This window comes from Homo sapiens, chromosome 1 (assembly GCF_000001405.40).
Source record: "Homo sapiens chromosome 1, GRCh38.p14 Primary Assembly".
Classification (NCBI taxonomy): domain Eukaryota; kingdom Metazoa; phylum Chordata; class Mammalia; order Primates; family Hominidae; genus Homo; species Homo sapiens.
In genome coordinates this window covers 162497343-162510347 of record NC_000001.11, presented here as the reverse complement: position 1 = coordinate 162510347, position 13005 = coordinate 162497343, and the positions used below count along the sequence as shown (strand labels likewise).

Here is a 13005-nt window from a genome sequence, read left to right as displayed (position 1 = left end):
AGCCAAAAGATGCCTAATTACAGTTAGATAGAAAGAATAAGTTCAAGAGATCTACTGCACAACATGGTGATTCTAGTTAATGATGATATATTGGATTCTTGAAAAACATAGGGAGTGAATGTTAAGCACTCTCATCACAAAAAATAACTATGTAAAATAATGCATTTGTTCATTAACTAGATTTAATCATTCCATTATGTATATATACTTTAAAACACGTTGTACATGATACATACAATTTTATGTCATTAAAAAAAGAAGACCGAGATGCTGTTATAGTCTAATAAAATTAATGTATCTCTATATAGCTACTGAAGTGTTTGTGGCATAAAAAGACCATTATTTCCTTATTGTAAGTAAGCATTTATAAAGTAAAAATAAGCCACTTAAAAAACAAAAACTAGGCCAGGCGTGGTGGCTCACGCCTGTAATCCCAGCAATTTGGGAGGCAGAGGTGGGTGGACCACTTCAGGTCAGGAGTTTGAGACCAGCCTGGCCAACATGGTGAAATCCCGTCTCTACTAAAAAATACAAAAAATTAGCCAGGCATGGTGCTGTGCACCTGTAGTCCCAGCTATTTGGGGAGGCTGAGGCAGGAGAATCACTTGAACCTGGGAGGCGGAGGTTGCAGTGAGCCGAGATCGTGCCACTGCACTCCAGCCTGGGCAACAGAGTGTGACTCCATCATACACACACACATACGAAAAAAAACCTATAGTGCCAAACTATCAATAGTTGTAAGATTTGCACTATATTGGCATCTATGTGTAAGAAGGCAGAGGAAAGCTACAATTGATCTGATGAACCAGAAAAAAAATAAACCCAAACAGCCAAAAGGTACTCACTGGACTGCACAGCAAGATGCTGGAGAAAAGCAGCTGAAACTATAAGGGGTTATACATTCTAATACTAAGTGAATACAAGCAGTTCTTTGTAAAATCATAAGAGGTTGGAGTAATCTAGACACTAAGACCTCTTAAAACTAACCAGCCAAAGCTTTCTTTCAGTGCAAAGTCCCACAGTGAGAAGAAATCTTGGGAACACAATCCAAATTGAGCAGGATGAGGGGAGAGAGAGAGGCACCAGAAAAAAGCAGAAGAGAAGAGCCAGGAGATCTCTGAAAAAAGCCACTTTTTGGGGAATATTATACAAAACAACAGAAGAGGGAGCCCTATATAAGAAAAGTTATCCCAAGTATATTTTCTTTAAGTTTAGGAAAATAATTTTCACATAAAAATGGGCAACATAAAAAGGATTATAACTGACTGTGCGTGGTGGCTCACGCCTGTAATCCCAGCACTTTGGAAGGCAAAGGCAGGAGGATTACTTGAGCCCAGGAGTTCAAAACCAGCCTGGGCATCATAGTGTGACTTTGTCTACAAAAAAAATAAACCAGGCATGGTGGTGTATGCCTGTGGTCCCAGCTACTTTGGAGGCTAAGGTGGGAGGATTGCTTAAAGCTGCAGTGAGCTGTGATCACACCATGGCACTCTAGCCTGGGTCACAGAGTGAGACCCTGCCTTGAAAGAAAAGAAAAGAAGAGAAAGAAAAGTATCTATTGTACAAAAAAAAAACTGCAAAATGATAAATCTCAGATAATGTATGCCAGAAAGATATGACCATTATAATCTACTTTTTTTTTTTTGAAGACAGAGTCCTGCTCTGTCACTCAGGCTGAAGTGCAGTGGTGCAATCTTGGCTCACTGCAACCTCCGCCTCCAGGATTCAATCGATCCTCCTGCCTCAGCCTCCAGAGTACCTGGGATTACAGGCAGATGCTGCTAGGCCCAGCTAAATTGTGTTTTTAGTAGAGACGGGATTTCACCATGTTGGCCATGCTAGTCTGGAACTCCTGACCTCAAGTGGTCTGCTCACCTCAACCTCCCAAAGTGCTGGGATTATGGGTGTGAGCCTACCATTTCAAAATGAGCTAAATGGCCAGGCGTGGTGGCTCACGCTCATAATCCCAGCACTTTGGGAGGCTGAGGCAAGCAGATCACTTGAGGTCAGGAGTTCCAGACTAGCCTGGCCAACATGGTGAAACCTTGTCTCTACTAAAAACATGAAAATTAGTTGGGCCTGGCAGCATCCGCCTGTAAGCCCACCTACTCAGGAGGGTGAGGAGGGAGGAACGCTAAAACCTGAGAGGCGGAGGTTGCAGTGAGCACTGTGCCACTGCACTCCAGCCTGGGTGACAGAGTGAGACTTTGTCTTCTCCTCCCCCTGCAAAAAACTCAAATGAGCTAGACATTTTTAAAAAACGATATAAGATGTGAAAGAGCAACAGAAAAAAAATTGAAAATCACAAAAATAAGGTAATAGAACTCAGGAAAGAATTAGACATTTTAAAAATCATTTCATAAAATAAAATTACACTATAAGAGATACAAGGATGAATAAACATAACAAATAATGTCTTAAAGAGTAGGCAAAAAGGAGGATATTTTTAAAAATAAAAAAGAGGCGGGGCACGGTGGCTCATGCCTGTAATCACAACATTTGGGGAGGCCGAAGCAGGCGGATCACGAGTTCAGGAGATCGAGACCATCCTGACTAACATGGTGAAACCCTGTCTCTACTAAAAATACACAAAATTAGCTGGGTGTGGTAGCGGGTGCCTGTAGTCCCAGCTACTCGGGAGGCTGAGGTAGGAGAATGGCGTGAACCCGGGAGGCGGAGCTTGCAGTGAGCCGAGATCACGCCACTGCACTTCAGCCTGGGCGACAGAGTGAGACTCCGTATCACAAAAAAAAAGAAAAAAAAAAAGAAAGAATGGGTTGGGGGTGGTGGCTTATGCCTGTAATCCCAGCATTTTGGGAAACTGAGGCTGGAAGGTCACTTGAGTTCAAGACCAGCCTGGCACATGGTGGGACCTCGTCTCTTAAAAAAAGAAAGGAAAAAGAGATAATATAGAATCAAGATAAAATGGCAGCTGGGCGTTGTGGCTCACGCCTGTAATCCCAGCACTTTCGGAGGCCAAGGCAGGCGGATCACGAGATCAGGAGTTCAAGACCAGCCTGGCCAATATGGTGAAACCCTGTCTCTACTAAAAATATAGAAATTAGCCAGGCATGGTGGCAGTAGCCTGTAATCCTAGCTACTTGGGAGGCTGATGTGGGAGAATTGCTTGAACCCAGGGGACAGAGGTTGCAGTGAGCCGAGATCATGCCACTGTACTCCAACCTGGGCAACGAGCAAAAACTCCGTCTCAAAAAAAAAAAAGAAAGGAAAAAATGGCAACATTGAATATAAGGCAAAGAAAATCAAACGTATGTAGACGAGGAGGACATGAAAGTGAAAACCAAAAAGAACAGAAAAAATATTTAAAAACTGTAATTTAAGAGACATACCGTATTTCTGAGAATATTGACCCAGAACAATCAAAATCAAAATATATTTTGATAAAATTACTATACATGGAAGAAAAAGTTAAAATCCTCTGGGCATCTAGACAAGAAGACCAAGTGACTCTTTTTTTTTTCTTGAGACAGAGTCTCCCTCTGTAGCCCAGGCTGAATTGCAGTGGCACGATCTTAGCTCACTGCAACCTCCACCTCCCAGGTTCAAGCAATTCTCTGCCTCAGCCTCCTGAGTAGCTAGGATTATAGGCACGTGCCACCAGGCCCGGCTACTTTTTTTGTATTTTTAGTAGAGACGGGGTTTCACCACCTTGGCCAGGCTGGAAGACCAAGCGACTTTTAATGAAAAGGCAATTACTGAGTCATCAAACTTTCAACAGAAACACATGCAGTAATATATAGGACACTCAAGGAAACAAAAATGTATGAGATTGGGATGAGACACATACAGGACTTCCAGGGTGACAGGAAAAGTTTTATTTCTTGGTGTGAATGGTAGTTACAAGATGGGTACAATGTTCCTACAGATTAAGCTACACATTTGTTTAATTAGTGTTTTTAGTGTCTGTGCTTTATTCAACAACAGCAACAAAAAAGGTTCAGCGACTTGCATGCATATATAATGCAATATGCAGAAAAATAGTGGAAGGAAATATACCAAAGTGCTAACACTAGAATGTGGGTTTATAATTTTTATTTTCCTCATGATGACTTTCTATAGTTTCCAAATTTAGTATTCTATGTAAAATGGTGGGGGGGGGGGGGCTATTATTTAAAAAAAATAAAAATAAGAAAGTCAATACTAGAACTTAGATGAAAATTTAACTTCCAGGCTAGAATCCATTTTATAATTTTTCATTCCCATCTCTTCAATGTAAAATGCAATTTATAATATCTCATATCAATCAGATACTAACAGCTATTTAAAACTAATTTGAAAAACACACACAAGTAAGTATGCGTAAAACTGGTGAAATAGGAATAAATCATGTGGATTATACCTATTTCAATTTACTGGTTTTGATACTGTATATACTACAGTTATGTAAAAAGTTACCACTGGGGGAAACTGGGTAAATGGTAGGGACCTCTCTGTAACATTTTTGCAAAGTCCTGTGAGTCTGTAACTATTTCAAAGTAAAGAGTTAATAAAACTAACTTAAAGGTTTATAGGGCCAATATTCAAAGGAAACTATACTACTCTAACTCAGACAAGGGATCCATACTTTTCTAGCATACTAATTATTTTATTCACTTCCAGTCCATAGTCTAGAAATCTGAAAAACCTACTATTTAATAATACAGTCATATACTGCACAATGACGTTTTGGTCAACAATGGACCACATATATGACAGCGATCTCATAAAATAATACTGAGCTGAAAAATTCCTATCGCCTAGCGACATCGTAGCTATCATAATGTCCTATCGCAACACATCACTCACATGCTTGTGGTAATGCAGGTAATGCAGGTGTTGCGGTAGGACATAGATGTAAACAAAACTACTGTACTTGATAATGACAATACATAGCTGTGTTACTGGCTTATGTATTTATAACTATATATTTTTTTATTCCTACTTTAAAGTACATCGCCCTCCCCCAAAAAGTTGACTGTAAAATAGTCTCAGGCAGGTCCTTTGTGAGGTATTCCAAAAGAAGGCATTGTTAACATAGGAGATGACAGCTCTATGCATGTTACTGCCCCTGCAGACATTCCAGTAAGACAATATGTGGAAGTGGAAGACAATGATATTGATGATCCTGACCCTGTGTAGGTCTAGGCTAAGGTGTGCTTGTGTCTCAGTTTTTAACAAAAAATTTTAAAAGTAAATAAGATAAAGAAAAATTAAAGTTTATAAAGTAAAAAAGTTACAGTTAAGCTAATTTATTATAGAAGAAAAAAAATTTTGGCCAGAAGCGGTGGCACACACCTGTAATCCCAGCACTTTGGGAGGCTGAGGCAGACAGATCACTTGAGGTCAGGAGTTCGAGACCAACCTAGCCAACATGGTGAAACCCCGTCTCTACTAAAAATACAAAAATTAGCCGGGCATGGTGGCATGCACCTGTAATTCCAGCTACTCAAGAGGCTGAGGCACAAGAATCGCTTGAATCTGGGAGGCAGAGGTTGCAGTGAGCCAAGATTGTGCCACTGCACTCCAGCTTGGGTGATGGAGTGTGACTCTGTCTCAAAAAAAGGAGAAAAAATTTTAAAATAAATTTAGTGTAGGCAAAGTATACAGTGTTTACCCTTAGTCTTATAGTGTACAGTAATGTCCTAGGCCCTCACATTCACTCACCACTCACTCACTGAATTACCCAGAGCAACTCCAGTCCTGCAAGCTCTATTCATGGTAAAGTGCCCTATAAGGTATACCATTTTTAATCTTTTATACTGTATTTTTACTGTATCTTTTCTATGTTTAGACACAATACTTACCATTGTATTACAACTGTCTATAGTATTTGGTACAGTAACACGCTATATAGGTTGTAGCCTAAGAGCAATAGACTGTGCAATATAGCCTAGGTGTGGGCAGAAGTCTGTATCATTTACATTTATGTAAGTACTATATGATGTCAGCATGGCAAAATCACCTAATGACATATTTCTCACAACAGATCCCTACTGTTAAATGACACGACTGTACACATTTGTATTTTCAAAATATCTATTGTTTTCGGATCTATTCAGATATCAGAAAAACTGTATCTGTCCCCAGACCGTTGTCAAGAGTAATTATTTAAAGTATAATAAAAAACTATCTTATTCGAAATGGTTTTTGGGTCTTTTTTTGGGGGGAGGGGAGTAGTCCAAAAGCAAACTCAATCTTTAGTTAAAAAAGACTCTCTTTAAAAACCTGCTTTCCATCAAGTATCCAGAACTGCCAGGGCTATGAGTGGCCAAAGGTACAGTGAATCTATCTTCCAGTGAAAAGGCAGCTGCCAGGAAAAGCTTAACATCTGATACTATGAGCAAAAGAGCATTCCTTTGAAAACAAATTTGGTAAAACTATTTCATTACTTATGTTCCTTACATAGAAATAATAATATAAATCTGTTCAGAGAAAAAAAAGACGTACCATTTCACATAGTACATGAATGCAAAGCAAGTTTATGGTACGTGTAACATACCTTTTGATAAGGTCTCTTAGGTGATAGGCTGGAATTGCGGCATTCACCACTGCTTTACTGGCAAATATGTGATCAATAATAGCAGAACTGTTTGCCTTAAAAAACGGAGAAAAGTTTTCCTTTGGTTATTCAGTCTGTATTTATTGAATACTAGGCATATAGCACTATTTGAGAGTAAAATGCAACAGAAAACACTATCTTCTGAGAGCCTACAATCTTTTTTTTTTTTTTTTTTTTGGAGACAGGGTCTTGCTCTGCCACCCAGGCTGTAGTGCAGTGACGCAATCTCAGCTCACTGCAACCTCTGCCTCCCAGGTTTAAGTGATCCTCCTGCCTCAGCCTCCTGCGTAGCTGGAAATATAGGTGTGTGCCATCACATCCAGCTAATTTTTTGTATTTTTTATAGCTATGGGGTTTCACTATGTTACCCAGGCTGGTCTCAAACTCTTGGGCTCAAGTGATCTGCCCACCGTGGCCTCCCAAAGTGCTGGGACTATAACTGTGAGCCATCGTGCCCAGCAAGAGCCTACAATCTTAACAGAGGAAATAATATACATAATTACACACTTCTGGAGAAGAACATTTTTTTCTTCATTTTCAGCGCCTAGCACTCTATGAACATCTACTAGATGAAAGAATAAAAAATAAATACCGAAGTAACCACATAAGAATGTAGTTTAATGCAAAAATGAATGTATAATAGGTGACTCAGGGTATCTCCGTAACGAGTCTTCAATTGGTTTTCAGGCAGAAATAAACTATCAAAGCGAATATGATGCAGTATTAAAACATCTTATTTGTCATATTACTCATTCTCTAAATCTTTACAGAATATATTTTCTCCTTGAATACTATGCTAACTCACAATTTAGAACTGTGTACATGAGTTAAAAGAACAGATACTATCATTATCAGTAAAATTTATTAAATACTTACCATGAGCTGTTTGCTAAAAGTATCATTTCTTTATTAACCTCAGTAGTCTTATGAGATAGATGCCATTATTATCCTCATTTTAAAGAAAGCAAACTATGGCTTAGTGAACCTAAATAAATAACTTAGTAAGAGCTTTGTGGAGGCAAGATACAAACCCTAGTAGCTTGACTTTAGAGCCTATGCTCATAATCAGTTGGCAATTTTGCCTCCATAGAAAGGGATAAAACAGAAAAATAGCGTTTTATCTAGAGGCATATATTGGAGATCCCATTACTACACATCACCCCTCTAAATTTCACACAAATTTGAATGTGATCTAGTTCTGATGAGCTCTAGGCCAAGCAGATATAGTCCAAAAGGCTCAAAGACAGTCAAAACTCATTCAAATAACTGATCTATGTCTGGATTAGCACCAAGAAAGAATACGTAAGACTCTTGATTGTTTGGGATATCAATAATAAAGAATGATACTGATTTTACTCCCAAGAAAGCAATTTTTACCCATAAAAGCATCAGGTACATACATTGGGCTATTAAAATATCCCTTCCAGGAAATGCTACAATGGAAATCAGTGACCAGGTGTTTAAAAGAAACAAAACTATATGTTATAATAGCTATACAGTATGTATTAGATGCTCAAAAAAACACTTGTTGCTTAGTATCAAAAACTTGTTGCTTAATATCTAAGTTCCAAACCTCTAATATTTGAATGAACTTTTTATGCATTTATAAATTAGGAATTAACTACAGTATGTTTTCAAAGGTATTGTGGGGCTTTAATGTTGTGATAATATCAGTATCCTTTAGGCTACTGTTTAAGTGATCCTCCTGCCTCAGCCTCCTGGGTAGCTGGGACTACAGGTGTGTGCCATCACACCCAGCTAATTTTTTGAGGTTTAATAAATACAATGTTTTGGAATGATTATTGTTCTTGATATTAAACAAGTATTAAAATACCTTTTATAATTTTTTTTTTTTTTTTTTTACTAGAGACTGGGGTCTCACTACGTTGCCTGGGCTGGTCTCAAATTCCTGGTCTCAAGTGAGCCTCCCACCTCAGCCTCCAAAAGTGCTGGGATTACAGGTGTGAGCCACCATGCCCAGCAAAAATATTTTTTAACTGTAAAGCAGTTAAGATAATCTATAAAACTTATCATTTAACTTATAAGCTATGGTTGTATTAGTAACACTTTAGAACTTAATATTACTGTTAGTAAACAAAAGAAACCACTTTTGTTTCTTCAGGAAAATGCATTCATTCAAACATTTTATCAAGCACTTACTATATGCCAAGCCACAGGCTAGGAACAATAAGAATGCAATACTCACTAGCAGATTGATAGCCATAGGAGTTGGTAGTGGCATTCAAGTATCATCAATAGAAAAAGAGGAGTATGGACAACAGACAGCAATCAAGAGTTCTCTAAAAGAATCATCATAAATTGGCCAGGTGCGGTGGCTCATGCCTGTAATCCCAGCACTTGGGGAGGCCCAGGCGGGTGCATCATGAGGTCAGGAGTTTGAGACCAGCCTGGCCAACATGGTGAAACTCCGTGTCTACTAAAAATACAAAAATTAGCCGGGTACGGTGGCTGGCGCCTGTAATCCCAGCTACTCAGGAGGCTGAGGCAGGAGAATTGGTTGAAACCGGAAGGTGGAGGTTGCAGTGAGCTGAGATTGCGCCACTGCACTCCAGCCTGGGTGAAAGAGTGAAACTCCATCTCAAAAGAAAAAAAAAAATCATCATAAATTGAATACTCTTAAGTTGAAAGTAAGGACCCCAAAGCAAAGCACTGGTGAAGTTTACCTTCCATTCCTGAGATCTGACTGTATGTTTCAGTTTCATTCCTGAGAACATTTCCAGTAAAATGATTCCTAGGCTCCACAGATCAACAGCTGAGGTACATTCTGTATCACTCTGCAGGCCAGCCTGGGCCAAGCAATTTTGCAATTCTGCTTCTGGAGCCCGATACCCGTCTGTCTGAATATACTTTACATCCTAAAAAAGATGAGTAAATATTACAACCAATAAAAAAGCTGCTCCCTTTCTATCCATCTCTACAGTGAATTTACTTCCCTAAGAGTGCAGTAAACCCACTGCCAAGCTAAATGCTAAAAATTTTTAGTCCTTGATTACCATAATTCTTTGGTTCATTAACTGGGCAGTTCTCAGAGGCAAGCTGTACATTTCCATATAGCGCTCATAAAGAAGTCTTCTTTGGATTGTCTCTTACCTATTAGGCACTGCTGATAATAAGGACACTGCAAAGAAATGATAAACCATGGAGAAAAGAGGATTTGGCAGAACTATCATATGCATTCTGCCACGAGATACAGCCCCAACACTGAAGAGACCAGGAATAGTAACTCAGCAATTAGCCAAACACGCATAAAATTTAAAAAACCATTCTATGTAGGTTAAGTACTTTTAATAATTCCAGAGCTCTCATGCTTCACTGGCTCCTCCTACCTGACCCAAACATTATGTCCTTTTTTTACACGGTGGCACTGAAATTCTTTTGATTTACTGCATCCCCTGGCATTTCAGTAATTTAGGTTAAAATGACTTGTAAGCCCCTACTAAACTACCCTTGTCATTTAAAAATATTTGGCTTCAACCACTACATTTTAAACTGCGAGAGAAAAGAAAAGGTTATTTCTTACCTGATTGCCTTCTTTGAAGCTAAGTCCAAAGTCAATGAGTTTAAAACATTCATTCTCTGCACTCCACAATATGTTACGTGGTTTGAGGTCCGCATGGACATAGCCCTCATGATGAAGAAAAGCAAGGGCCTCCAAAACATCTCGGGCACAATGCTGTATCATCCACATGGAACAACCCTGGTGACTGGAATATAAGAGCAATTCCGAAACACTGACATCCAGGAGTTCAAGCAACAGACAGCGTGATGGCACATTTGGAGAAAAGTGGATTGTAAACACTCCATACAAAGTCACTAGAAAAAGAAATTATAATACTTTAAAAATCAGACTCAGAGTAAGTCACTACTAAAGTAGGTAACTGCAGTACAAATTTGAGATAGTCTAGATAAGGATAACTTTGATGAGCAAGCTTCCACTGTAATTTATTTTTCCCATGAATAAGATCTTTTGGCAATTGGGTTATTTTAATAAAAATAAGATGAGACAGCCTACAACAGCTGATTACCATTCACAGATACTAAATATGGTACAATTATTCAATTTGTGTTTCACCAAGTACTCATTGGTGATGAACACGAACTTGGAGTGCCAAGCAAAAATGATTAAAAGTAAAAAACCTAAATATAAATAAATAAAACTTACTGTTGCATCATGAGGTCCTTTAAAAAAAAAGAAATTTTTAAAAGTAAAAACCCAAATATTAAGTAACTCTTTTAAAAGGAATGTCACAATGCGCAAAAACCAAACTAAACATTGCTTCTTCATCCAAAACAGCAGTCTAGGTCTGCCACGGTGGCTCATGCCCGTGATCCCAGCATTCTGAGAGACCGAGGCAGGAGGACTGCTTGAGCCCAGGAGTTTGGAGACCAGCCTGGGTAACAAAAGGGGACCTCTTCTCTACAAAAAATTAGCCAGGCTTGGTGCTACGTGCCTGTAGTCCCAGCTACCTGGGAGGCTGAGGTAGGAGCATGGCTTTAGGAGGAATTGGAGGCTGGAGTGAACTGTGATCTCGCCATTGTACTCCAGCCTGGGTGACAGAGTAAGAACTTGTCTCAAAAAAAAAAACTAAAACAAAAATAAACAGCTCTCTATAATCTAAATACTAACAAAGAGATTAAGACTTTTCGGATGAAATTTTAATCTTGCAGAGATCAGGCAAGTCCCTAGGCTTGCAAAATTTTTCCCTTTTCAATACCAAGGTTATAGTAACAGACCATTTAGTAAACTAAAAAAATGTAGCACTAGTGTTAATTCTTCTCCAAAATGATATTATAAAAAAACTCACTCTTCAAATTAACTATGCATCATACTTGCTAGGAAATAAGACTTTTCTTTAATAACCAAAGCTATAACTAATGATAAGCTTTCTGTCGTGTAATGAAAATGAAACCTTTTCACAGATCAATCATCAGTGATCATTACATATCTTACATTCTGAGTATCTGATTCTTGAAACAGTCTCAAGAGAGCAAAGGTATAGTGTTCCTAAATTTCACACTTCTATAAAGGCTCCCATGGAATAGTGCATCATTTCTTCCAAATCCGTACTAAAGATATAATAGGTGAGCTATACGAGTTACTAGCATTGATGTCACAAGGCCCAGACGTAGTTCCCATTTTCTACTGGTATGCAAAGATTCAAAAATTTCCACACAAGACACGACAATCTAGCAAAGACATGCCTCCTCTCACTAGAAAAGATATTTCTGTATGCTAATGAATGCGGCATTCTCCGATGAGACTCGAAGCAAGACAATTTACTGAGCATCTATGTGACACCTGGCAAAGCAGACCACCAACTCCACTATACCGCAGACAGTAATAAAGTGAAAGGGGAAAGGGGCCTGGATGGGGTGATAAAGAGGGCTAAACCCGCTTCTCCCGCAGAAGGGGAGGAAGATGGAACGCCAGACAGCGAGAGGAAGAGTGTGCTCGGACTGTGACCTGGGCAAGAAGAGAAAGGAGACAGCGGCAATTACCGATGTTTCTGTGACCCTGCAACTGTTCCAGCGCCGCCCTCTCTTTGCGGAAACCATACTCGGCGGCAGAGGCCGCAGCCCCGGTGGTTCCTGGCGGCAAGAACTGCTTGAGGGCGCCGGGGGGCGAGCCAGGGTTGCCGCAGCAGCGAACCCGATACACCGAGGCGGAGGAGCCGCTACCCAGACGGCTCTGTACCTGCCACAGCCGCCCGAAGGCCTCCAGAAAACGCGGCGGCTCCGCGCCCCAGGCGCAGCCGGATCCCGCCATCGGTGTGGGTTAAGGGCACGGACACGGGAGCTGACGCGACGCCTGAGGCAGGCCGGCCGGGCCCGCGGTCACATCTCCGCCAGCCGGACCAGCGGCTCCGCAGGGAGGGACCTGCAGCCGCCTCACCGACTCCCGGGACTTCAAGCAGCCATGACACCGGAAGCCGTGGTGCACCCGAGTCCCAGAAGCCGGAAATGGAGGAAGAGCCTATCATACAGGCCGAAGGAGGGGGGGCTCAGAAGGGGCGGGGCCTAGAAGAGATTAGACGCGCTAGGTTTGGAAAAAAGAACCGAGAATAAGAAGTAACCTTAATTATTGAGTATCTACCATTCCAGGCCCAGTGTTAACCGCTTTCACATAGACCTGAAGCCAAAACTGGTCCTTTTTCTTGTTGAGGCACCTCACCTTACCTCACCACTAGGAACCCGAAAAATAAAACCCGGCCTACATTTCTCATAGAAAGGATCCCAAGGAAAACACCCCAGGAACAAAAAGAGAGTTTACCATCACCTCCAGGTCCACGGTCACCAGAACCCATGATTCTGGAAGCCTAGACCTTTGTTCTTCTTTTAGATGTAAACCGAAAATACAATTCTAAGCCCCCCGTGTCGCCAACCATCGGAATGGACTTTCTCCCAGGCCAGGGCACTCTAAAATT

General features: G+C 40.4%; 1 protein-coding gene across 3 annotated transcripts in view, besides 3 other annotated features; it reads right to left on the bottom strand.

Moving 5' to 3' along the window:
* UHMK1 (U2AF homology motif kinase 1) overlaps positions 1–13005 on the bottom strand; it is a 32458-nt gene that overhangs the window by 19284 nt on the left and 169 nt on the right. Inside the window, exons 1-4 of one of the 3 annotated variants that reach the window (NM_144624.2) lie at positions 12080–12543; positions 10101–10393; positions 9244–9435; positions 6500–6594 (exon numbers count right to left, since the gene is read on the bottom strand). In NM_144624.2, the coding sequence (NP_653225.2) occupies positions 6500–6594; positions 9244–9435; positions 10101–10393; positions 12080–12347 (848 nt within the window). In that variant the 5' untranslated portion in view covers positions 12348–12543. Of the gene's footprint in view, positions 1–6499; positions 6595–9243; positions 9436–10100; positions 10394–12079; positions 12544–13005 lie in introns of those variants that run through there. The other 2 variants (NM_175866.5, NM_001184763.1) reach the window with 2 other exon arrangements.
* Positions 11793–12293: an enhancer, noted in NCBI's record as "H3K27ac hESC enhancer chr1:162467845-162468345 (GRCh37/hg19 assembly coordinates)". NCBI's record gives its function as "activates a minimal SCP1, AML or CMV promoter by ChIP-STARR-seq in primed H9 embryonic stem cells {active_cell/tissue: H9 hESC(primed)}" and the evidence as "EXISTENCE:reporter gene assay evidence [ECO:0000049][PMID:30033119]".
* Positions 12294–12794: an enhancer, noted in NCBI's record as "H3K27ac hESC enhancer chr1:162467344-162467844 (GRCh37/hg19 assembly coordinates)". NCBI's record gives its function as "activates a minimal SCP1, AML or CMV promoter by ChIP-STARR-seq in primed H9 embryonic stem cells {active_cell/tissue: H9 hESC(primed)}" and the evidence as "EXISTENCE:reporter gene assay evidence [ECO:0000049][PMID:30033119]".
* Positions 12480–12559: an enhancer, noted in NCBI's record as "active region_2009". NCBI's record gives its function as "activates an Ori minimal core promoter by ATAC-STARR-seq in GM12878 lymphoblastoid cells {active_cell/tissue: GM12878}" and the evidence as "EXISTENCE:reporter gene assay evidence [ECO:0000049][PMID:35858748]".